Consider the following 22978-nt stretch of genomic DNA (forward strand, 5'->3'; position numbering starts at 1 on the left):
TGCAGGAGTTGGGAAATTCTGCCTTCATTATTTAAGGTGGGGTAAAAACAGTTCTCCCTGCCCACAGCAGACACCAGGATAAGCTCCTGACAGGGCAGACGGTGTAAACCCGGGGGAACCCAGCTCCTGGGACTCGCCTCCTCTCTCCCTCCCTACTCAGGGCATGGATTTCAGTGTGTGCAGCCTCCTGGGACCCCAGCAGGGCCGAGGATCATGGGATGCAGAGTCTGTAGGGGGTCCATGGAATCCCCTAACCCAGAGGGCCTTAACCAGGGTGATTCCGCCCCCAGGGGACCCTGGTCCATGTCTGGGGACATCTGTGGTTGTCCCATCTGGGGGGAGCTCCTGACATGGAGTGGGTGAAGTCCAGGGACGCTGCTCGGCACCCTGAGTGCCCAGGACGTCCCCACCCCAGAGAAGGATCCAACCGCAAGGTCCACAGGGCCGAGGGGAGCTCCTGGAGGCCGCTCTGGGCACCTCTGTGCCTCGCTGAGAGCCCGACACCAATCCCGTTTTAGGGATTTGGGATGACAGGTGTGGCAGGGCCAGTGTGCGCACCCCCAGCCACCTGCCCACGAGCCTGACCCCTCGCCTCCTGCCTCAACAGGGCTCTGCATGCGGGCGCCCCTGGCGTTATCCGACCGGAGCTCCCAGGGCAAGTGGCCCGGTCCGGCCTCAGGGCCTTCACACAGCTGTTCCACCGCCGGGAACAGCCCTCTCCCCCTTTGCTCTGACAGACTCCTTTCCATCCTCTGCAGCCGACACACAGTCCCCGCCTGCCCATGACAGGAGGGTGCGGCCCCTCGGGTGGGAGGCACGGGGCTCCCCGCTCCTCCGCCCTCTGTGCGGCCCAGATGGAGGCCCTTGTGCCGAGCGGGACACCCTGTTCCCGAGCCCCCCATAAGTTTGCCCTCCTTCACCTCCTAGGCGAGCCCAGGAACCAGCCCACTGGTGAAGCCGCCTGGAGCTGAGGCCTCTGGGGTTCAGGGGCGTCCTGGTGGCTGGGGGAGGGAACTTTTCCAGTGCTGGCCACATTTTCACCTTTTCCCTTACAACACCATTCGGGTCCTAGGAAACAAGACCAAGGGCCAGATTTGGCCCCTGGACAGCCAGTTTGCAGCCCCCAAACCCAGAACATAGTAAAGGGACTCAGCTGGGGTCAGAGGTTCACACCCGTAATCCCAACACTCGGAGGCTGGAGCGGGAGGATGGATAGAGCCCAGGAGTTTGAGACCAGCCTGGGCAACATAGGGAGACCCCATTTCTACCAGAAATTAAAAAAAAAAAAAAAAGCCGGGCATGGTGGCTGCGGTGAACAGTGATCATGCCATTGTACTCCAGCCTGGGCAACAGCAAGACCCTGTCTCTCTCTCTCTCTTTTTTTTTTTTGAGACGAAGTCTCGCTCTTTCTCCCAGGCTGGGGTGCAGTGGTGCATTCTCGGCTCACTCCAACCTCTGCCTCCCAGGTTCAAGCAATTCTCCTGCCTCAGCCTCCCGAGTAGCTGGGAGTATAGGCGCCCGCCACCACACCCGGCTAATTTTTGTATTTTTAGTAGAGATGGGGTTCCACCATGTTGGCCAGGATGGCCTCGATATCCTGACCTCGTGATTTGCCTGCCTTGGCCTCCTAAAGTGCTGGGATTACAGGCATGAGCCACTGTGCCTGGCCCCTTTTTTTTTTTTTTTTGAATCAGGGTCTCACTGTGTCAACCAGGCTGGAGTGCAATGGCACAATCTTGGCTCATTACAACCTCTGCCTCCTGGGTTCAAGCGATTCTCCCAACTCAACCTCCCAGGTAGCTGGGATTACAGGCACGCGGCACCACGCCTGGCTAATTTTTGTGCTTTTAGTAGCAACGGGTTGGGTTTTCACCATGTTGGCCAGGCTGGTCTCGAACTCCTGACCTCAAATGATAACACCCACCTTGGCCACACAGGGCCAGCCGGGACCCTGTCTCTTAAAAATAATAATAAAAGGCCGGGCACGGTGGCTTACGCCTGTAATCCTAGCACTTTGGGAGGCCAAGGTGGGTGGATTGCCTGAGCTCGGGAGTTCGAGACCGGTCTGGGCAACATGGCAAAACCCTGTCTCTACTAAAATAAAAAAAATTAGCTGGGCGTGGTGGTGTGCACCTGTAGTCCCAGCTTCTTGGGAGGCTGAGGCAGGAGAATTGCTAGAATCTGGGAGGCAGAGGTTGCAGTGAGCTGAGATCAACCCACTGCACTCCAGCCTGGGTGACAGAGCAAGACTCCATCTCTAAAAACATTAATTAGGCCGGGCGTGGTGGCTCATGCCTGTAATCCCAGCCCTTTGGGAGGCCGAGGCGGGTGGATCACGAGGTCAGGAGATCGAGACCAGCCTGGCCAATATGGTGAAACCCCGTCTCTACTAAAAATACAAGAAATTAGCTGGGCGTAGTGGCGGGCGCCTGTAGTCCCAGCTACTCAGGGAGGCTGAGGCAGGGGAATGGCATGAACCCAGAGGCGGAGCTTGCAGTGAGTCGAGATCACGCCACTGCACTCCAGCCTGGGTGATAGAGCGAGACTCCGTCTCTAAAAACATTAACTAATTAATTAATTAAAAATTAAAAAATAAAAGGCCTCTCGTTCTTAGCCCACAAACCCAAAGAAAGTGGTATTGCAACGTTTTCCCAGGAAAGGGTTTCCTGGGCCGCCTAACCCACTGTCCACCCTCCCATTGCCCACGCCCAGGGGACGTGACTGGAGGAGGGTCAGCGTGGCTGGAGGTGGACAGGCCCAGACTCAGCTGCCCGGCCTCCCGCGCACCATCCTGGCCGAGGCTGGCCGGGACACGTCCCTCCCCAGGGCTGTGTTGGAGGCGAGGGACCAACAACACCCCCACACCTGTCCCAGCCGGTTGGTTCCTGAAACCCACGTTAGACCCTGGCCCCGGAAGGGAAAATGGCATTTTCCATTCCAGCCAGAAATGAGTCTGCCAAACCCTGCGTCCCGGAGATGGAGTCCCACTCACTGCCTGGAGGAGCCCGCCGGCCCCAGGGAGAGGAGGGAAGAACCCTGGGAAAGCCCCCACCCCAAACTGGATCGTCAGGCCCTGCTTGTTCACCCGCAGCTGAGGGCCTCAGAGGCGGGGAGTCAGGGAGGGGGTGCACCTCTGAGTTCCCCAGCCTGGGAGGGAGGGACTCAGCCCCCAGCTCTCCCCAGCCAGGGAGGGACTCAGCCCCCCACCTCCTCCCCAGGCCCCCACCTCTCCCCAGCCAGGGAGGGACTCAGCCCCCCACCTCCTCCCCAGGCCCCCACCTCCCTCCCCAGCCAAGGAGGGACTCAGCCCCCCACCTCCTCCCCAGGCCCCCACCTCCCTCCCCAGCCAAGGAGGGACTCAGCCCCCCACCTCCTCCCCAGGCCCCCACCTCCCTCCCCAGCCAAGGAGGGACTCAGCCCCCCACCTCCTCCCCAGGCCCCCACCTCCCTCCCCAGCCAGGGATGGACTCAGCCCCTCACCTCCTCCCCAGCCCAGGAAGGGCCCAGCCACCCCCTAGCCTCTCAGAGCCCAGCCACCTCCCTGGGCCGCCTGCTAGGTGCTTGCTAGGAGGGCGGGAGGCTCCCGGAGGTGAAGCTCAAACCCTCCTCTGATAGCCGATTTTCGGAGCCAGCCAAGAGTCCAGACTGGAGAGGCGGCGGCTGAGACGCTTCCAAAAGCAGAGGGCTACCAGAGCCGGCTGCTGCTCTCCCCACTGGCATAGGTAATGATGGGGCTGCCGCGGGACGGCCGCAGCTGCTGGGTCTGTGGGGCCAGGACCGGGGCAGCCAAGCCGACTGGGGTCTGGCTGGGTTCATCAGTGCCTGCAAACTGGCGGTGCTCCATAAATGTGCAGGGGATGGAGAATGAGGGCCTTACACCCCGAGGGGAACGTTCCTGCCTCTGTGCCTCAGTTTCCCCTTCCTGGTTACCCCCCCTTCACAACCTCCAGCTGGCACCAACGAGATCCGGCCGCTGGGTGGTCTGGAGATGCCCCCAAAGTGTGGCTTCTGTCCCCTGCTCCAACACGATTAGTCTGTCCTCATTCCAGGAACCAGGCTGGGGGCGGGGTGACCTCTGACCTCACACTGCAGCCTGGCCTGGCCACGTCCCCAGGGAGGGGAGGAGGGGAGGAAGGCCTGGCTCGGGCTGGGCCGCAGCAGGAGGCCTGTGAGAAGGTGGAGACTGTAGTCCATCGACTTCCTGCTGCCCCTGCCCTCTCCTGCCTGTGGCAGCAGCCCACACCTGCCCGGTCTGCTGGGTGTCCTGGAACCCGGGAATTTAAAAACTTCCAGGCTGGGCCAGGCGGTGGCTCATGCCTGTAATCCCAGCACCCTGGGAGGTCGAGGAAGGAGGATGGTTTCAACCCAGGAGTTCAAGACCAGCCTGGGCAACACGGCGAGAGCCCCTATCTATGAAAAATTAAAACGCTAGTCAGGTGTGGTGGTGTGCACCTGTGGTCCCGGGAGGCTAAGGTGGGAGGATCGCTTGAGCCCTGGAGGTTGAGGCTGCAGTGAGCTATGACGGTACCACTGCACTCCAGCCTGGGCGACAGGGCCAGACTCTGTTAAGAAAAACTAAAAATGAACCAGGCGCAGTGGCTCACGCCTGTAATCCCAGCACTTTGGGAGGCTGAGGCGGGCAAATCACGAGGTCAGGAGTTTGAGACCAGCCTGGCCAACATGGTGAAACCCCGTCTCTACTAAAAATACAAAATAAATTAGCCGGGCATGGTGGCACATGCCTGTAGTCCCAGCTACTCCGGAGGGTGAGGCAGGAGAATCGCTGGAAACCAGAAGGCGGAGGTTGCAGTGAGCTGATTGTGCCATTGCACTCCAGCCTGGGCAACAAGAGCAAGACTCAATTTCAAAAGAAAAAAAGAAAAAGAAAAATGAAAAAAAAGGCCAGGTGCGGTGCCTCACGCCTGTAATCCCAGCACTTTGGGAGGCTGAGGCAGGTGGATCACCTGAGGTCAGGTGTTCGAGACCAGCCTGGCCAACATGGTGAAACCCCGTCTCTACTAAAACTACAAAAATTAGCCGGGCGTGGTGGTGAACACCTGCAATGCCAGCTATTCAGGAGGCTGAGGCAGGAAAACCACTTGAAGCCAGGAGGCGGAGGTCGAAGTGAGCTGAGATCACGCCACTGCACTCCAGCCTGGGCAACAGAGTGAGATCCACCTCTCCTGCTTGTCTACAAAAAACAAAAATAAATAAAGTAAAAATTAAAACAAGGCCAGGCACAGTGGCTCATGTCTGTAATCCCAACCCTTCGGGAGGCCAAGGTGGGAGCATCATTTGAGCCCGGGAGTTTAAGACCAGCTGGGCAATAAAGCAAGACCCTGTCGCTGCAAAAAAAGAAAAAAAAAAAGCACAAAATTAGTTGAGTGTGGTTCCTATGGTTCCAGCTACTCGGGAAGCTGAGGTGGGAGGATGGCTTGAGCCCAGGAATTGGAGACTACAGTGAGCCATGATTGCACGATTCTCCTGCCTCAGCCTCCCGAGTAGCTGGGATTACAGGCATGCACCACTGTGCCCAGCTAATTTTTGTATTTTTAGTAGAGACGGGTTTCACCTTGTTATCCAGGATGATCTTGATCTCGTGATCCACCCACCTCGGTCTCCCAAAGTGCTGGGATTACAGGCCGGAGCCACCACGCCCCGCCGATTTTTTTAAATAATGTTTTTTAAATAATGTTGGAGGCCGGCCTCAGTAGCTGACGCCTGTAATCCCAGCACTTTGAGAGGCCGAGACGGGCAGATCACCTGAGGTCAGGAGTTCGAGACCAGCCTGGCCAACGTGGTGAAACTCCGTCTCTACTAAAAATACAAAACTTAGCTGGGCGTGGCGGCTCACACCTGTAATCCCAGCTACTCGGGAGGCTGAGACAGGAGAATCGCTTGAACCCGGGAGGCAGAGGTAGCAGTGAGCCGAGATCGCACCATTGCACTCCAACCTGGGCCACAGAGCAAGACTGTCGCAAAATAAAGAAAGAAAATAAAAATGAGGTTGGAGGAAACTCTGGAGGCACAGCAGGTCCTTGGATTGGACTCCCTCCCTCCCTCCCAGGATAAAATGAAATCCAGGCCTCGTTCACACGGCCCTGCACGGCCCGGCCCCGCTCCGTGGTCCTGCCCCAGGGCCTTCGCACGGGCCTGCCCCGCACACGGTTCTCTGGGGGTCGCTGGCTCCCCGCTCAAACGGCCCCTCCTGCCGACCAGGCGGGTCCCCGGGGCCGCCCTCCCTCTGGCCTGGGCTCGGGGTCGGTGGCTCGCGCCTGCCACCTGGCGGCCAGCGGGGCTGCGGCGCCGCACGCTCTGGCACCAGCCTCCTGCCCCGGCCGTGCCCTCCGCCGGGAGCCGCGGACCAGGAGTCGCACCGCCTCCGGGGACCGCACCCCGCATGCAGCCTCCAGCCCCTGCCTCTTGCTGCTCGAGGGCACACGACCCAGGTCAGCTGCAACCCCCGGGCGGAAATCCCGACTTTTAAATGAATGCTCCCTTTTTATCCCTTTTTAAGGGGTTGGCAACTAATTGCACATTTTAAATCATACTGTTTTTAGGCCGGACGTTGTGGCTGAAGCCTGTAATCCCAGCGGTTTAAGAGGCCAAGGCCTAAGCCCAGGTGTTGGAGACCAGCCTGAGCAACACAGTGAGACCCCCCATCTCTACTAGATATATATTTAGTATAAATAAATAATAGATATATGTTTTTCTTTGAGACAGAGTCTCATTCGCCCAGGCTGGAGTGCCTGGGATCTCGGCTCACTGAGACCTCCGCCTCCCGGGTTCAAGCGATTCTCCTGCCTCAGCCTCCCACCACGCCCGGCTTTTTGTACTTTTTGTAAAGACGGGGTTTCGCCATGTTGGCCAGGGTAGTCTCGAACTCCTGATCTCAGGTAATCCACCCACCTCGGCCTCCCAAAGTGCTGGGATTACAGGCCTGAGCCAAAGCGCCCGGCCTTTTTTTTTTTTTGAATGCCGTTTTCAGACATGGTCCGTGACGGGCAGCCGTGACATGAAGTTAGACCCTGCTTGGCTCGGACAGAACTGGCGACTTGTTTGACCTACACCAAGCTATCCGACTAATAATTTAGATGTTGAGGCCCCTAAAGAGGGGTCAAGGGGGAGGCAGATGTCGACCAATAAGGAAACACTGGGCCGGGCGCGGTGGCTCACGCCTGTAATCCCAGCACTTTGGCAGGCCGAGCTGGGAGGATCACTTGAGCTCAGGAGTTCGAGGCCAGCCTGGGCAGGACAGTGAGACCCTGGCTCTACAAAACTAAATAAATAAGGAAGCAGTGAATTCCAATGTATTCATCGCCAACTAGCCATGTTGCTGGGTGTGCGCTCTCTCTTTTAGGCGCAATGTGTCATTTAGGCCTGTGACGTCGGAACTTTATTATTTGAACATTTAAAAATAAATGAATCCAAGAGCTTGAGTCACTTGGCCAAAAATGCCCAGGAGGAAAAGGCCAAGTCAGGTACCCCGGCTCTAGAGCTACTAACTGATCGCCGGAGACCCTGGGCCTTGGAAGAAGTCGCCTCCCCAGATCTCTAAGCAGGCCGCGCGACCCTCGAGTCTCAGGTAAGCGGGAAATCCCACTTCACAAGAAAGCCCCTCTCTCCGAGGCACGGGCGCATGCGCGGGTCGGCCACCCGCTGGGGCCGCGGGGCCGCCGCTCTGGCCCGCGTGGGGCAGTCGTCCGCGTCTCGCTCATGATGACGCACGTCCGGGGCGGTGGGGAAGGCAAGATGGCGGCGCCCATGGAGGTGGCCGTGTGTACGGACTCGGCGGCCCCGATGTGGAGCTGCATCGTGTGGGAACTTCACTCGGGCGCCAACCTGCTCACCTACCGCGGCGGCCAGGCGGGACCCCGCGGCCTGGCGCTGCTCAATGGCGAGTATCTGCTGGCGGCGCAGCTGGGCAAGAATTACATCAGCGCCTGGGAGCTCCAGCGGAAGGTGCGGCGGTGCGGTCTCGCTGCTGGGGTCATGGGGCGCCCGAGGCTGAAGTCGGGGGATGGGTTGGTGGGGGCCGCGTGCACCCTTAGTCGGAATTGGCGTGGGGAGGGGAGGTGGTCTCCGTTCGGGCGCTCTGCGCATGCGCGGGTCTGGGGGCTTTGGGGAGATACGTGCGACCTGTTAGGCCGCTCTGCGCACGCGCGGGGCTCAGGCCTGAGCTGCTATGGGGGCAGTGGGGGAAAATGGGAGACGCTCCGGGGGGTCCCTTGGGGCAATTGCGCATGCACGAGTTCTTGGAGCGCGAAATTTGATTAAAAGGGGCCTATGAGCTCTGTGGATGTTGTGGTTCTGGAGGAAAAGGGAGAAGGACCAAGGTCTGGGGGAGTCTCCCATGAAGGGGTGGCGCAGGAAACTCATGTTTATTCCTCCAATAAAGCAACAGATACTCACCGTCGCCCACAGTTTCCCCTCTACTCCCAAGCCCAAATGCAGCCAGTCCCTGAAGCTACTCGCTTCCCCCGTGTGCCCGCTGAGATCTCTTGGGACTGGCTCTGTGCTCCAGCATTGCCTGATGGAGTCTACACACAACTCATAAATTTCTCCCATTTTATTTTAGTTTTGAGACAGGGTCTCACTCTGTCGCTGAGGCTGGAGTGCAGTGGTGCGATCTCGGCTCACTGCAGCCTCTGCCTCTAGGGTTCAAGCGATTCTCGGGCCTCAGCCTCCTGAGTAGCTGCAACTACAGGCCCGCACCAACCACCACACCCGGCCCACATTTGTATTTTTTGTAGAGGCAGGGTTTCACCATGTTGGCCAGGCTGGTCTCGAACTCCTGACCTCAAGTGATCTGCCCACCTCAGCCTCCCAAAGTGCTGGGATTACAGCCGTGAGCCACCACGCCCGGCTGAGTTTTCCCATTTTAGAGAGGAGGAAGCTGAGGCTTGGGGTCTTAGGTTGGACATTATGGATAGAAGGATTGGGGCACAAGCCTACTGGGCTCTTGGGCCCCAGTGTCCTTCTGGATCCTCTTTGTTCTGTTCCTGTACTCCTCCCACCCAGGGCCCCTCTGACCCTCAGAGGAAGCACCAACCTCACATCTACCACCTCCAGCCTCGAAGCCTCTTGCAGGGGCGAACACTTCCTTGCTGGACCATGCATTTGCTCAAACCACCCTGCTCCCGACTCCTCTTCCTGGTTCTCTGACTTAGCCATTGCCCAGGCGTCCCCTCCCCTCGCCCTCCACTGCTGTAGTAGCTCCCGTGTCCTGCATGGGGCTCACGAGGCTGACTGTGCATCCTTAGGACCAGCTCCAGCAGAAGATCATGTGCCCCGGGCCTGTCACCTGTCTGACTGCATCACCCAATGGTCTCTACGTCCTGGCAGGAGTTGCAGAAAGCATCCACCTGTGGGAGGTAAGAGGAGCAAAGCGTGAGCGTTTCCCACAGGACATCTCAGCCCATCTGAGCTTTGCCTGCAGGGCACCAGGGAACAACCATGCGGCCTGGGGCCCTGGGATGGGTGACTGCTCAGGGGTTATAGCCTAAGCTTCACCCTGCTGCCTCCTTTCTCCAGGTCCCCTCGAGACTTGCGAATCCCAGACCAGCCCTAATCCTGCCTTGAGTGCTTGGATAGAGCCCGGTGCAGCCCAGTCCCCGGCACTCACACACCGCAGCATCTTCCAGGGCTAGCGGGCATCTCTTCCACGCAGGCGGCAGCGCCTGGCACTTGTGACTTGAAAGTTATAAAGGGCGGCCGGGCGCAGTGGCTCATGCCGGTAGTCAATGCAACCTCTGCCTCCCAGGTTCAAGCAATCCTCCTGTCTCAGTCTCCTGAGTAGCTGGGATTCCAGGCGCCCACCACCACACCTGGCTAATTTGTTTGTATTTAGTAGAGAAGGGCTTCACAATGTTGGTCAGGCTGGTCTCCAACTCCTGACCTCAGGTGATCCACCCGCCTCGGCCCCCCAGAGTAGTGGGATTACAGGCGTGAGCCACCGCGCCCGGCCAGTGCCTCCTTTTTCTTACCGCTGGACCAACCAGGTGACAGCAACTCCTAGACACACTCACAGCCCGGATCCTGCCATGCTCTCACTGCGAGACAGAGTGAACTGTTCAGGCTTTGCATTTAGGCCAGCTTCTCAGCTCTGCCCTGGTGAGGGGAAGCAGCCCTGGATGATGTGTGAGTGAGTGGGCACAGAGATGTGCCAGGGAGACTTCATTCACAAAGTCAGGCCTCTTGGAGTTTGGCCCATACCGTAGCTGTGGCGTTAGATCACCGGCTGTGTTGTCACAAATGGTCCATTATATTTCGGGGGAGACCTGCCCTCAACCCCACATAGAGCAGGGCAGACAGTACAAGATCTGGGGCCAGAAGACCCAAAGGTAACCATGTTTCTGCCCTTCCTGACCTTGTCCTTGCTTCCCTCAGTGGGCTGCTCAGAGAACTGAGAGGGCTGGGTGGGCATGAGCATTCTCGGAGAGATAAAAAAGCCACCAGGGGATGGGCATGGCGGCTCATGCCTGGAATCCCAGCACTTTGGGAGGCTGAGACGGGCAGATCACTTGAGGCCAGGAGTTCAAGACTAGCCTGGGTAACATGGTGAAAACCCATGTCTGCAAAAAATAGAAAAATTAGCTGGGCATGGTGGCATACACCTATAGTCCCAGCTTTTTGGGAGGCTGAGGCATGAGAATCACTTGAATCCGAGAGGCGGAAGTTGCAGTGAGATGAGATTGTACCACTGCACTCCAGCCTGGGTGACAGAGCAAGACCTTGTCTCCAAAGAAAAGGGGGGTCGGGACAGGCAGCACAGGAATGACAGGAGGCATCATTATCTCACCCTCAGGACACGTGTGTATGTATTTAATTTTTAAACTTATTTTTGAGATGGGGTCTCACTACATTGCCGTAGCTGCTCTTGAACTCCTGGGCTCAAGCGATCCTCCCAGGTAGCTGGGATTATAGGCATGTGCCACCATGCCTGGGATCCCAAGGCTTTTACATCTCACTCCATGATTTTGAAACTAGGATGCAGTTGCTGAGAGGGAAACTGAGGCAGGGAAGCAGTAGCTCACGAGTCACCCCTAACAGTAGACCTCCTAGCCCTGGTTGCTGTCAGTCTGGTGCAGAGGGGCATGTGGGTAGGAATTAAATGTGTCATCGCCCCATGGGGGATGTCTTAGGCGGGACCCCTTCCTGTTCTTGGCTCGGGACAGTGTGCTGGGTGGCACCCACTGCCAGACCCCTGCTCCCCTAGCCGCCTCCAGTTTTTTTTTTTTTTTTTTTTTTTCAGATGAAGTCTCGCTCTGTTGCCCGGGCTGGAGTGCAGTGGCTCAATCTCAGATCACTGCAACCTCAGGCTCCCAGGTTCAAGCGATTCTCCTGCCTCAGCCTCCCAAGTAGCTGGGAGGCGCCCGCCACCATGCCTGGCTAATTTTTGTATTTTTATTAGAGACGGAGTTTTGCCAGGTTGGCCAGGCTGGTTTCGAACTCCTGGTCTCAGGTGATCCGCCCTTCTCAGCCTCCCAAAGTGCTGGGATGACAGGCGTGAGCCACTGCAGCTGGCCCTCCTGGAGAGTTTCTGACCCGTGAGCTGTGACCATGAAGGGGTGTCCCACATAGCCAGAGCTCAGGCCGGGACTGCCTCCACTGTACCCCCCTGCCACGGTCGAAATCCTCCTCCTGTTCTCTGTGTAGGCGACGGGTGTGTGAGCGGTGAGTCAGGAGTGGGCTGGAAACCTGAGAGCCAGGGCTGTGGGGCGGGAGCTGGTCCGCCCCTCCCACGCCACAGGGACAGGGACCTCCCGGGAGGCACTGATGTTCTGAAGCTGCCCGGTCTGTCCCGGCCCTGGGCAGTGGTGGTCACCAGAGCTGCCCTCTGTGGTTTGGGGCTGACCTGGATCCTGCTTCCTCTGGTGCCATTTAACCCTCCCCAGCCACCCTGGGTTTTGCATGCGAGGAAAGCGAGGCCCAGAGAGGGCATGGCTGTCAGATCTGGGCCCAGCAGGCTCTGCCTGCCCCAACAAAGCACGACGCACAGGGACTTTCGACAACAGAAACTCGGCCCCCATCCTTGAGGCCAGACGTCCTAAATCAAGATGTCTGTGGGGCCACGCTGCCCCTGGAGGCCCTGGGAGGAGCCTTCCCACCTCTCCGGTGGTGGCCGGCACCCCTTGGCACCCTTGGCTTGTGGGTGACTGTCCCCTGCCTCTGCTGCCACCACTGCCGCGTGGAGCCCCTGTGTGTTTGCACTTCTCTCAGCTTACAACAACCGGGACACATGGATGGATGCCCCCGCTCCAGAACCACCTCATCTTAACTTATGATATGTGCAGAGACACTGCGTCTAAATGAGGCCATTCACAGGTCCCAGGTCGGGACTTTTAACATGCTTTTGGGGGGAAACACGATTCAATCCACAACCCCCACCAGAGCATCTCAGCTCTCGAATCCACAACCCCCCACAGAGCATCTCAGGCCTCGAACCCACAACCCCCACCAGAGCTTCTCAGCCCTCGAACCCACAACCCCCCAGAGCATCTCAGCCCTCGAACCCACAAACCCCCCCAAGAGCATCTCAGTCCTCGAACCCACAACCCCCTCCAGAGCATCTCAGTCCTCGAACCCACAACCCCCCCCAGAGCATCTCAGCCCTCGAACCCACAACCCCCACCAGAGCATCTCAGCCCTCCCCAGGTGTCCTGGAAGGGGCTCCCTGTCCTCTTCCTCAGATGGAGCTGCCTGGCTTCCTGCCGGAGCTTAAGCTGCCACCACCCTGGGTCAGGCCACCACAGCCTGCCCAGAAGCGACTTCCTGTTGAATGGTGGGAGCCGCCTGCAGGTCCTGAGTGCAGCCGTTCCTACGGGGCCCACACAGGACGCCTGGGGTCAGGCTCACAGGGGACCAGCACCTCCCTGAGGCAGCAGGGAAGGGCAGGAAACTTGCCCCTTCCTGGGCCATCATGCAGGTGGGGACGAGGCGGGAACAGGTGCCCACCCAGCCCAGGCAGGGGCGCGACGAGGCCCCGCTGTACCTGCTGGCCGCTGCCCTGACAGGGTCACCCCGCAGTCCTGGGGCAGGGCAGGCAGGGGGCGACAGTGTGGCCATGGCCGTGCAGTGGTGGGTTCCTGGGGCTGCAGCCCCCCTTTCCTCCCCTGGGGCTTTCCTCCCCTGACCTGGATACCCTCTGCCCCTCACAGGTCTCCACCGGGAACCTTCTGGTCATCCTGAGTCGACACTACCAGGACGTCTCCTGCCTTCAGTTCACAGGGGACAGCAGCCACTTCATCTCAGGGGGCAAGGACTGCCTGGTGCTGGTTTGGAGCCTCTGCAGGTAGCGCCTTGCGCACTCAGGCCTGCACCTGGAACTGCACCCGGGCTCAGGCGGGGAGAGGAGGCGCCAAGGCCCCTGGCGGGAAGGGGCTTCTCTCTTGGGGGCTGGAGTGCAGAGGACGGAGTGATCATCCCAGGGGTCCTGGCTGCCCACACTGGGGTCTGGTTTGTTCTGGGGGCCGTGGGGGCCCAGCCTTGAGTTTACTCAGGTGAGGCAGGCCAGGCTGCTGAGTGGAGGCAGGTGTGTGCGTGAGGTGGGTGCTGGAGGCGTGGACTGCCCTGTTCCCTCCGCTCCCCGCCTGCTGAGCACCTGCCCCACCCCGCTCAGCGTGCTGCAGGCCGACCCCTCCAGGATTCCGGCGCCCAGGCACGTCTGGTCTCACCACGCGCTCCCCATCACGGACCTGCACTGCGGCTTTGGGGGCCCCCTGGCCCGGGTGGCCACCTCCTCACTGGACCAGACGGTGAAGGTACGCCGCCCCCACCCCACCACGGTCCATGAGCGGAGCCCAGCAGCCGCAGGTCCTCAGCCAGGAATGCAGGAATCGCCTCCTCCCGCTCCCTGCTGTCAGGACTCCAGACGGCTTTTAATCCCCTGGTGCTCTGAGCCCAAGGACGTCCAGGGAGGTCTGCCAGCCTGGAAATTCCTACTCATTCACCGTTTCTGGCCCGGCTCCCTGGCCAAGCCTGGGGAATCGGAGGTCATCACTATGCTTGAGTCGTGACCGGTGGTCCTGGGAGGGAGAACCAGGGGTCATCAGCCGGAGACCAAGCTCCATTTCAGCACAGGCCATGTCCCCTGGCCCCCAAGACCCACATGGTGACGGCTTTCACCCAAAGTCGCAAGCCCTAGGGCCAGAGGACAGCCGACGCCTGACCTCCCTGGTGCCCCTGTTCCCATGGGGTCCTCGGGTTCCCCCTGCCGGGCCGAGCCCCACGCCCTTTGCCCACCCGCAGCTATGGGAGGTCTCCTCGGGGGAGCTGCTGCTCTCCGTCCTCTTTGACGTGTCCATCATGGCAGTGACCATGGACCTGGCTGAGCACCATATGTTCTGCGGGGGCAGTGAGGGCTCCATCTTCCAGGTCGACCTCTTCACCTGGGTGAGTGCCGCGGTCTGCGGGCTGCACCCTGCCCTGGGGCTGAGGGCATCGGGCCTGCGGCTCACACACGTCTCGGCCTTCGCAGCCCGGACAGAGGGAGAGGAGCTTCCACCCAGAGCAGGACGCCGGGAAGGTCTTCAAAGGGCACAGGTGGGGACGTGGGAACGGGGCGGGGGCTCCCAGGCACGTCCTGTCTGGCACGTCCCAGGTGACCCCTGTCTGTCTGTCCAGGAACCAGGTGACTTGCCTGTCAGTGTCCACTGACGGCAGCGTGCTGCTCTCAGGCTCCCACGACGAGACCGTGCGCCTCTGGGACGTGCAGAGCAAGCAGTGCATCCGGACGGTGGCCCTCAAAGGTGGGCGCGCCTCTGCTCGGCCCGCGGCCAGCGCGCAGGGGAAAAAGCCAGCAGGAGCTCCGGGCTTGGCTTGGGTGGGGGCGGGGACTGGTTTGCTGTGGGGCGGGGCCGGGCTGGGGGCGTGGACTGGCTGTGGGGCGGGGCCTGGCTGGGGGAGTGGACTGGCTGTGGGGCGTGGGCTGGCTTTGCTGTGGGGCGGGGCCTGGCTGGGACGGGGCGGGGCCTGGCTGGGAGCGTGAACTGGGTTTGCTGTGGGGTGGGGCCTGGCTGGGGGCGTGGACTGGCTGGGGGCGTGGACTGGCTGTGGGGCGGGGCCTGGCTGGGGGCGTGGACTGACTGTGGGGCGGGGCCTGGCTGGGACGGGGCGGGGCCTGGCTGGGACGGGGCGGGGCCTGGCTGGGGGCGTGAACTGGCTTTGCTGTGGGGTGGGGCCTGGCTGGGGGCGTGGACTGGTCGTGGGGCGGGGCCTGGCTGGGGGCGTGGACTGGCTGTGGGGCGGGGACTGGCTGGGGGCGGGGACTGCCCTGGATGGGGCGGAACTTGGCTTGCTGTGGGGTGGGGCCTGGCTGGGATGGGGCGGGGCCTGACCTCCGCGCCCCCCAGGCCCAGTCACCAATGCCGCCATCCTGCTGGCGCCCGTCAGCATGCTGAGCTCAGACTTCAGGCCCAGCCTGCCGCTGCCCCACTTCAACAAGCACCTGCTGGGCGCCGAGCACGGGGACGAGCCGCGCCACGGGGGCCTCACTCTGCGCCTGGGCCTCCACCAGCAGGTACGGCCCCCAGCAGGGAACCCCCACTGCCCTTTTGTCCCGGAAGACCCCGCGGGCCCTGGGCTCCTTCGCTCCCTTGGTCCTGGCGCCCGTGCGGCGGTTCCCCACAAGCCCGGCACTGGAGGGCGCGTCCTGTGAGTGGGATGGTGATGCTCGGTGGGGCCTCTGCCCACTCTCAGTATGGACCCAGAGGCTCTGAGAAGTTAACCACCCCTCTTCCCCCGGCCAGCAGGGCCGAGCTGCACGCCCCACACACCAGCCTTCCTGCGGCTGGATATCTGACAGTCAGTTAGGTCTTTCTGCAAAAGGCCGATGCCCCATACTTCGGGCTGTGAGAGCCAAAAGGTTCACGTCTGGGCTGCCGAAGGTGCAGGAGCAGCCGTGAGGGCAGGGAGCGGGTGGGGCCCTGGTGGCTGCAGGTGGCTCCCACGTGGGCTGGGGGCAGCCTCTCGGCCTGGCCACAGTCACGCCCTCACTCCCTGCAGCTCAGCACCGACCCCCGCTCTGTGCAGGTACTAGGGTGGGCTCCCTTACCTTCTGAGGGTAGAGTGACTTCCGGAACACTTCCCACCCCAGCCCCAAGACCCTCATAGAAGCCAGTGTGGTTGGCTGGGCTGGGCTGGGGTGGGGGCTGGGGGTTCCTTGGGCCTGGGGAGGCTTCCCAGTGTGTTTCCGCCTCACTCCCCGACCTTCGATGAGCTGCCTGCGTCCTTGGTGTCTCACGTCACTGTCTGTGTCCCTCGCTGGGCTCTGGCGCTTGGCACTTCTCCCCACGCGCCCTCTTCTTACCTGAGTACAGATTGATTTTTTTATCTGGAGGGTGCCCGACAGCCTGATGGCCTGACAGGCCCTGCACCAGGAGATGCCGTTATCTCCCTTGTCCGTGCTTCCTCATGGAGTGACACTCTGTTTTCCCACATCTACCAGTGGGCTTGGGGCGGGCAGGCAGGGGACCGCCACCGTCTGGGCATCCGCAAGGCCCCTCAGACTGCAAGGAGGCCAGGAGCACAGGCTGGACTGACTGCTAACAGCGTGGGCGCAAGGAGGGGCGAGCTTTTTGTTCAGAAAGTGCCGGAACTTTCGGAGTGAAAACAGGCCTCCAGCGGCAGAGCCAGCTCCACGCTAGGGCGCCTGCCCGGCCACTGCCTCCTCCTAGGGCAGCAGCGGTTCCCACGATTCCTGCCCAGCCAAGCGCTCTCCCTAGAACCCCACCTAGTTGGCCACAGTGGGATTCCGGAGGGGGCCAGGCCATGCCCTCCGGTAATGCCGCCACCTTTCCCTAGCCGCCCCACCTGGCTCCCTTCCTCCCGTGACGGCTGCTAGTCCTCTGTGACCCTTGTTCCAATCCAGCTGACACTGGAATGTTGGCCTGTCCCACAGACAGGCGCTGCTGGGGCCCAAGGCGCTTCGTCCAGGAGGCGGGTTCCCGACCTCTGATCCCCCAGCAACGTCCCTCCATGTAACTGGTTCCTCTGTACAGGGCAGTGGCCTTGCTGGGCCGGCCAGGCTCTCCCCATGGCTGGAGGTGCTCACTGTCTGTGAGGCCCTCGCCAGGCCCTGTGTCCCAGAGCCTTCCCTGGGCTTGCGGGTCCTTCCAGGTCTGGCCCAGGCCCCTGTCTGTGGTGTGGCCATCTGCACCCCCATCCCCAGCCACATCCTTGGGCGCAGTCGTGGAGGATCTGAGGCGCTGGGTAATGACTGCATGGCCAGGGTCAGGGTTGTCATCTGCAGGCTCGACGGAGGTGAACGCCCCCGTCTCAGTCTTCCCTTCTGTCTGTGGGCGTCACGGTGGCCCCTCCCTGGCTGAGTGGCTGCCCACGCTGGCGGGGGTGGGATGGGCAAAGCGTGTGGTGTGTGACAGGACGCGCCCCGAGGTCACGTGGCTCCCTGTGTTACAGGGCTCGGAGCCCAGCTACCTGGACCGCACGGAGCAGCTGCAGGCCGTCCTGTGCAGCACCATGGAGAAGGTGGGCGGGGCCTCGGGAGGGGCGGGGCCTGAGGCTGGGGTCAGTCCTGGCCAGTGGGGGTGAGTGGCCCCCCTCCAGCACACCCCAGGCCACTTCTGCCCTCTGACCCCGACTTCTCCCGCAGAGCGTGCTCGGCGGCCAGGACCAGCTGCGCGTCCGTGTGACGGAGCTGGAGGACGAGGTGCGCAACCTGCGCAAGATCAATCGGGACCTGTTCGACTTCTCCACGCGCTTCATCACGCGGCCGGCCAAGTGAGGCCCGGAGACCCCGGCCCGAGGCGCCCAGGCCTGAGCCCCATGCCTCCCAGCAACCAGGGCCCGCGGGTGTGGCCCCCACCAGCCCAGGCCTGGACTCTCCTCAGTTCTGTGTCGTGTTCGGGTTTTTCCTCTGTGACTGGGCCGTCTTGGTGTCTCGTGGCACGCGTCACAGTGGTGCTAGTCTGTTTTTAACAAAAGAGGATGAAAAGCCCCTCCTCTCCGGCCTCCTTGTGTCCGGGTGTGGCCTGGTGCTGCGTGCAACACAGCTCCCCTGCTGCTCGGCCCAGCTGGGACCCCAGCCCCACTCGGCACCCTCTGTCCGGAGGTGGGGGCCTTAACCAACCTAGGCCTCGCGGGGGCGGCTTTAAGAGGGAGCCCCGAGCACCTGCAGTTCTGACTCTGCTCTGTTGCCCGAGGGCCTTTGCATGGCCGCCCCCTCCCGAGAAGGCGCTGGACCGGGGTGGTGGGATTGAGGAAGGAACCGGGAAGCCAGGCCCCTCCGGTCTGCTGTGCAGGGGGTCTGAGTGGAGACAGCCCTGTGGGGTCCCGGAAGGAGGTGGCTTGGTGTAGAGAGACGGGCCTGGGGACGTTTGGGGGTGGACCCAGCCGCCAGGGTTGAGGGGTTTCCCCGGGTGCAGGACCCAGCTCTCAGGGAGGGTTTCGGGGGTCCCTGGTCCCTGTGGAAACGCAGGGCTCAGGACCAGGCAGGAGGAGGGAGCTGGTGTGGGTGGGGCCTTGGAGCACAGGCTCCTCCCAGTGCATCCCTCGGGTGCCTTGGGGCCCCTGCTGGCTTCCCCAGGGCCCAGCTGGAGCCGCCCAAGGGTGAACCCAGGGTGGTTCTCCGGGCAAAAGGTGCCACGGCCTCCCCAGGCAGAGGTGGCTTGCCCCACCCAGCAAAGGTGGCCACTGCAGGCTGGGACCGTCAGATGGGTCAGGAGCAGGTCTGGGGGTGGTGTCCCGATCTGAGCCGGTCCCCAGAGGGAGTTGGACCCCTGCCACACCACAAGCCGTGCTTGTGGGTATCAAGGGCTTGAGGGAGGTCAGGCCCTGCTGCCCTGGGGACGCTGCCACCCAGCGCCTGGATCCCAGCCCAGAAGCCCAGAACCTTCCAGAAAGCTGCTCCCGACTGACAGTCCTACCTAACGATCCAGAAAATCCGTGTGATTTAGCGGGCGTGGTAATGACCGCAGTCCAGCCAGCCGCCAGCGCTGAGTTCATGCTTTTAGGCTAATTTGTGTTCTTGTCCCCTCTATGGGGCTCTGAGTCCTCTCGGCTGGCAGCCTGGCCACACTGCATCAGGGCAGCTGGGCCCTCACCTGGCACTGACATCTGCCTCGGCTGCTCCGAGCCCTGAGAACCACTCCAGGGTCCCTTCCCCCTGGGCGCACGGCCAGCTTGTTCCTTTTCCATCATGAACCACTCACTCTGCTGACCTGCAAGGCTGGGTCCTGCCTGCGGGGAGCACGCGGATTTGGGGTGAGGCAGCTGGGGGGTCCCTTGGGGTTGGCTGATCTCCCTGGGTCTGTACCTACTGTTCCCCTGGAGCCATTCCCACGACCCCTGCCCCCCTCCGCATCACCACCCAAAGGCTCCCAAATTTCCCTCCCAGCACCAATCAGGACCCCCAACCACCAACTCAAGGGTATCGGCACAACCCTGTGGCTGGTGCCAGGGCGGGGTGAGGGTGCGCAGAGCCGTAGAGGGACAGCTGCCTGGGGCTCCCAGGGCCCGGACTCGGCTCCAGCCGCTGCAAGAGCCCAAGGTGAGCCAGGCACGAACATCCAGGTCACTTCGCAGCTGCCTGCACCACGCGGCCGTCCGGGGCTGAGGTCGGCTGCCCTCTCCGCAGGCTGCAGAACAGGGTTAGAGTTCACCGTGGGGCAGGGCCCGAAAATCGCCCGGTGGCCTCAGACAGGCGACACCTGGCCGGGTCGGACTCGACGTTCTTGTCTCCAGAAAGGGGTCGTCCCCCGGCGGGTCGGCTGGGAGCTGGGCGGGGGCGGCAGGAGCTCACGCCTCATTCCCTGCGTTTCCCTCCATGTGCCCCTGCACGCTGGGTCCTTGGACACAAGCCCCCTCGGTGCCTCTCCACGCCCGCTCCCGCACCGTCATCACCCTCTCGGCCCAGAGCTCCCAGACGTGCTCAGGCACCGCGGCTCCACCCTGCGTCGTAATTGCCGGTCTGGGTGCGATGGAAACAGTGGTGACGTCATCGTTCAGACCCCCCGCCCCCGGAGGCCCCACAGATTCTCAGAGGGACGGCGCCGGGACTGGGGAGGCCAAGGCGTTGACGAGCGGGGACGCCGGTGTGCACAGGTGACCTGGCGGCTGGCGGGGCTTGACTGTGCAGACCACAGTGAGGTGCGCTTGCGGGCGCCGGGACAGCTGCCAGCAAAGCTGAGAGCAGAAAACATCATGCGCGAGGAGGTGGGGAAGCCACAGCCTTCCCGTGCCCTGGTGCGGACATAAAATGGGGCATCCACTGTGAAAATAGTCTGGCAGGTTTTTTGTTTGTTTTTGTTTTTGTTTTTGTTTTTTTGAGACTGAGTCTCACTCTTTCCCCCAGGCTGGAGTGCAGTGGCCCGGTCTCCGTTCACTGCAACTTCTGCCTCCCGGGTTCATGCCATTCCCCTGCCTCAGCCTCCCAAGTAGCTGGGATTACAGGCGCCCACCACCACATCAGGCTAATTTTTGTATTTTTAGTAGAGACGGGGTTTCACCATGTTGGCCAGGCTGGTCTCGAGCTCCTGACCTCAGGTGATCCACCCGCCTCAGCCTCCCAAAGTGCTGGGATTACAGGCGTGAGCCACTGCACCTGGCCATTCTGTCAGGTTCTTAAAAAATTAAACAGCGTTAAGGTTGGACCCAGCGAGTCCACTTCTGGGTATATACCCAAGGGAATGAGGAGCAGGGTTTGGGAATGAGGAGCGGGGTTTGGGAATGAGGAGCGGGGTTTGGGAATGAGGAGCGGGGTTTTGAAATGATCCACACACCAAGCTCACAACAGCTCCATCCCCACAGCCAAAAAGTGGGGGAAGGCCAGGCGCCGTGGCTCACGCCTGTCATCCCAGCACTGTTGGAGGCCAAGGCCGGTAGACCACCTGAGGTCAGGAGACCAGCCCGGCCAACATGGTGAAACCCCATCTCTACTAAAGATACAAAAATTAGCCAGGTGTCGTGGCACGTGCCTGTAATCCCAGCTACTTGGGAGGCTTAAGGCAGAATTGCTTGAACCTGGGCGGTGGAGGTTGCAGTGAGCTGAGATTGCCCCCCTGCACTCCAGCCCAGGTGACAGAGCAAGACTCCGTCTCAAAAAAAAAAAAAAAAAAAAAAGTTGGGGAAACCAGGTGTCCATCAGCGGTTGGATGGGTCACCACAACACGAGTCCTCTGCACAGTGGAATATTATTCAGCCTTGTAAAAGAACGAGAAGGCTCAATGCAGTAGCTCACCCTGTATTCCAGCACTGTGGGAGCTGAGGCAGGATAATCGCTTGAGCACAGGAGTTTAAGACCAGCCTGGGCAACATCTCTACAAAACCCCATCTCTTCAAAAAATATAAATTTTAGCCAGGTGTGGTGTGCACCTGTGGTCCCCGCTACTTGGGAAATCAAGGCAGGAGGATCGCTTGAGCCCAGGAGGTTGAGGCTGCAGTGAGCTATGATCTCACTACTGCGCTCCAGTCTGGGCAACAGAGCGAGGTGCAGTCTCAAAATTAAAAAAATAAAATAAGTGAGGCTCAGACACAGGCCAGAGCATGGTTGCACCTTGAGGACATCACACTCAGTGAGAGACGCCAGACACAAAAGGACACGTCCTGTCTGATTCCACTCCTAGGAGGTCCCTAGAGTTGTCAGATTCACAGAGACGGAGAGGATAGGAGGCGTCAGGGCTGGGGAGGGGACGGGGAGTGAGTGTCCCCTGGGGACAGAGTTTCAGTTTGGGAAGATGAGAAAGTTCTGGACAGGAGGGTGGTAAGGGCTACATAGCAAGGAGTGTGCTTAATGTGCCTGAGCTGTGCACCTAGAAATGGCCAAGATGGCAGGTTTCATGTTATGACTATTTTCCCACAATAAAACATTTTTTAAAAGTCTCCTCCACGTGGCCACTTGTTCCACATGGCAGCTGGGAGTAGGAACGCCTACTGTTGCCCGTGTACAGATGGGGAAACTGAGGCAGGGCACGAGGGTGAGTTCCCGGAGGGCAGACACAGTCTCTGCCCCTAGGAACTCTTGCTCCTCAGAGGGAGCCGAACCCAGGGAGGGACGGGGCCCCAGTGGTCCCTGAGGACACCAGGACCCAGCACCTCTCGCAGACCCAGGGAGGGGACCCCTTGTCCTGCCCCCGGGGACACCTGGCCAGGGGGCTGGAGGGGGTGGCCTGCGGGTTCCTGGAACCGAGCCATCCCTCCCTCCGTCCCTCCCCAGTCGTCTCAAAATCCAATCCATTTTACTGGCTGGCACTTGGCATTTTATTCATTTCATGGAGGATTTTTTTCCTACCTCTCCAACGCTGGCTCCAAAAGGAGATGACGTTTGGGGTGTGTGTGTGTGTGTGTGTGTGTGTGTGTGTGTGTGTGAGAAAATCGCCGGAGTGTAGATCCATTAATTAGAGCTGAATGTTCCCAACACAGCGGCTGTTCTGCTGCCCCGCGGGATCTGGGGAGACACCGTCGGGAGGACAGGATGAGGAATGCCTGGGCAGGGAGGAGGTCCTCTGCTAGATGGATAGACGGATGCAGCCGCCCCCATCTATCAGGCGCCTGTGGGATGCCAGGGCCCCAGAAGGCACCCCCCGAGGCCCAGAGGACATAGGCAGGCTTGGGGACTGGTAGACAGCGGGGAGCTATGGAAGGCTCTAGAGCACTGGAGGAGGGGCATGTGAGCAAGCATCCTTGTCTGGGCCGTTGCTCAAGCCACAAGCAATTATAGAGTGCCTACTGTGTGCCAGCAACCAAACCAGACCCACCCCAACCCTCCCAGAGCTGAGTTGAAGAGATGGTCACTAAATAAGAAGGAAATGAACAAAAAGATGGTAGGCCGTTATGGAAATGTGTGGAGGTTGGGGGTGGGTAGCAGCAGGACTGAAATGGGGCAGGGAGTGGTGCTTTCTGCATTTTCTCAGTGGCAAGCAGGGAACGTTTTTCAGGGCAGGGCATTTGGGACTGGGTTTTGAAGGGTGAAGAGGAGTTCTGTGGCCCAAGTTGCCTGCCCACTGCTGGAGGGCAGATCTAC

At 60.8% G+C, this 22978-nt stretch overlaps 1 protein-coding gene across 3 annotated transcripts, besides 14 other annotated features; it reads left to right on the top strand.

Annotated features, from left to right (window-relative positions):
- Positions 3464-4054: an enhancer, noted in NCBI's record as "H3K27ac-H3K4me1 hESC enhancer chr19:980065-980655 (GRCh37/hg19 assembly coordinates)". NCBI's record gives its function as "activates a minimal SCP1, AML or CMV promoter by ChIP-STARR-seq in primed H9 embryonic stem cells {active_cell/tissue: H9 hESC(primed)}" and the evidence as "EXISTENCE:reporter gene assay evidence [ECO:0000049][PMID:30033119]".
- Positions 4005-4149: an enhancer, noted in NCBI's record as "145 bp enhancer 174 fragment used in the MPRA reporter construct; PK_construct_1719". NCBI's record gives its function as "activates an SV40 promoter by MPRA in K562 cells {active_cell/tissue: K562}" and the evidence as "EXISTENCE:reporter gene assay evidence [ECO:0000049][PMID:23512712]".
- Positions 4070-4083: a transcriptional cis regulatory region, noted in NCBI's record as "HNF4 motif; enhancer activity is reduced when this motif is scrambled, but it is unclear which activator is functional in K562 cells in the absence of HNF4 expression". NCBI's record gives its function as "necessary for full MPRA enhancer 174 activity {active_cell/tissue: K562}" and the evidence as "EXISTENCE:site-directed mutagenesis evidence [ECO:0005528][PMID:23512712]".
- Positions 6010-6399: a silencer, noted in NCBI's record as "silent region_9644". NCBI's record gives its function as "represses an Ori minimal core promoter by ATAC-STARR-seq in GM12878 lymphoblastoid cells {active_cell/tissue: GM12878}" and the evidence as "EXISTENCE:reporter gene assay evidence [ECO:0000049][PMID:35858748]".
- On the top strand, positions 6327-17956 carry WDR18 (WD repeat domain 18). Of its 3 annotated transcripts, NM_001372086.1 has the most exons (13): positions 6327-6449; positions 6561-6649; positions 7361-7585; positions 7867-7962; positions 9264-9374; positions 13161-13294; positions 13622-13763; positions 14251-14394; positions 14480-14544; positions 14626-14750; positions 15354-15520; positions 17419-17487; positions 17612-17956. In NM_001372086.1, exons 5-13 carry the CDS (start codon positions 9285-9287, stop codon positions 17741-17743), a joined length of 1068 nt encoding a protein of 355 aa, NP_001359015.1. In that variant the 5' UTR covers positions 6327-6449; positions 6561-6649; positions 7361-7585; positions 7867-7962; positions 9264-9284; the 3' UTR covers positions 17744-17956. The 3 variants fall into 3 exon arrangements, with proteins under 3 accessions (NP_001359015.1, NP_001359014.1, NP_077005.2); NM_001372085.1 differs by having other exon boundaries at positions 7361-7962; NM_024100.4 differs by lacking the exons at positions 6327-6449; positions 6561-6649; positions 7361-7585 and having other exon boundaries at positions 7744-7962.
- Positions 7338-8279: an enhancer, noted in NCBI's record as "NANOG-H3K27ac-H3K4me1 hESC enhancer chr19:983939-984880 (GRCh37/hg19 assembly coordinates)". NCBI's record gives its function as "activates a minimal SCP1, AML or CMV promoter by ChIP-STARR-seq in primed H9 embryonic stem cells {active_cell/tissue: H9 hESC(primed)}" and the evidence as "EXISTENCE:reporter gene assay evidence [ECO:0000049][PMID:30033119]".
- Positions 7564-7653: a silencer, noted in NCBI's record as "silent region_9645". NCBI's record gives its function as "represses an Ori minimal core promoter by ATAC-STARR-seq in GM12878 lymphoblastoid cells {active_cell/tissue: GM12878}" and the evidence as "EXISTENCE:reporter gene assay evidence [ECO:0000049][PMID:35858748]".
- Positions 7704-7853: an enhancer, noted in NCBI's record as "active region_13577". NCBI's record gives its function as "activates an Ori minimal core promoter by ATAC-STARR-seq in GM12878 lymphoblastoid cells {active_cell/tissue: GM12878}" and the evidence as "EXISTENCE:reporter gene assay evidence [ECO:0000049][PMID:35858748]".
- Positions 7884-8063: an enhancer, noted in NCBI's record as "active region_13578". NCBI's record gives its function as "activates an Ori minimal core promoter by ATAC-STARR-seq in GM12878 lymphoblastoid cells {active_cell/tissue: GM12878}" and the evidence as "EXISTENCE:reporter gene assay evidence [ECO:0000049][PMID:35858748]".
- Positions 14240-15185: an enhancer, noted in NCBI's record as "H3K27ac-H3K4me1 hESC enhancer chr19:990841-991786 (GRCh37/hg19 assembly coordinates)". NCBI's record gives its function as "activates a minimal SCP1, AML or CMV promoter by ChIP-STARR-seq in naive H9 embryonic stem cells {active_cell/tissue: H9 hESC(naive)}" and the evidence as "EXISTENCE:reporter gene assay evidence [ECO:0000049][PMID:30033119]".
- Positions 14948-15047: a silencer, noted in NCBI's record as "silent region_9646". NCBI's record gives its function as "represses an Ori minimal core promoter by ATAC-STARR-seq in GM12878 lymphoblastoid cells {active_cell/tissue: GM12878}" and the evidence as "EXISTENCE:reporter gene assay evidence [ECO:0000049][PMID:35858748]".
- Positions 15308-15367: a silencer, noted in NCBI's record as "silent region_9647". NCBI's record gives its function as "represses an Ori minimal core promoter by ATAC-STARR-seq in GM12878 lymphoblastoid cells {active_cell/tissue: GM12878}" and the evidence as "EXISTENCE:reporter gene assay evidence [ECO:0000049][PMID:35858748]".
- Positions 17329-17862: an enhancer, noted in NCBI's record as "H3K4me1 hESC enhancer chr19:993929-994462 (GRCh37/hg19 assembly coordinates)". NCBI's record gives its function as "activates a minimal SCP1, AML or CMV promoter by ChIP-STARR-seq in naive H9 embryonic stem cells {active_cell/tissue: H9 hESC(naive)}" and the evidence as "EXISTENCE:reporter gene assay evidence [ECO:0000049][PMID:30033119]".
- Positions 17863-18395: an enhancer, noted in NCBI's record as "H3K4me1 hESC enhancer chr19:994463-994995 (GRCh37/hg19 assembly coordinates)". NCBI's record gives its function as "activates a minimal SCP1, AML or CMV promoter by ChIP-STARR-seq in naive H9 embryonic stem cells {active_cell/tissue: H9 hESC(naive)}" and the evidence as "EXISTENCE:reporter gene assay evidence [ECO:0000049][PMID:30033119]".
- Positions 19875-20494: an enhancer, noted in NCBI's record as "H3K27ac-H3K4me1 hESC enhancer chr19:996475-997094 (GRCh37/hg19 assembly coordinates)". NCBI's record gives its function as "activates a minimal SCP1, AML or CMV promoter by ChIP-STARR-seq in naive H9 embryonic stem cells {active_cell/tissue: H9 hESC(naive)}" and the evidence as "EXISTENCE:reporter gene assay evidence [ECO:0000049][PMID:30033119]".

The sequence above is a fragment of the Homo sapiens genome, chromosome 19, assembly GCF_000001405.40.
Source record: "Homo sapiens chromosome 19, GRCh38.p14 Primary Assembly".
NCBI classification, from domain to species: Eukaryota; Metazoa; Chordata; class Mammalia; order Primates; family Hominidae; genus Homo; species Homo sapiens.

Excerpts from the sequence above, each read along its gene's own strand:
- WDR18 (NM_001372085.1), top strand. The coding sequence starts at position 7,753 with ATGGCGGCGCCCATGGAGGTGGCCGTGTGTACGGACTCGGCGGCCCCG. Across the intron at positions 14,545-14,625 it reads AAGGTCTTCAAAGGGCACAG|GAACCAGGTGACTTGCCTGT; the intron begins GTGGGGACGTGG and ends CTGTCTGTCCAG. Across the intron at positions 17,488-17,611 it reads TGTGCAGCACCATGGAGAAG|AGCGTGCTCGGCGGCCAGGA; the intron begins GTGGGCGGGGCC and ends CTTCTCCCGCAG.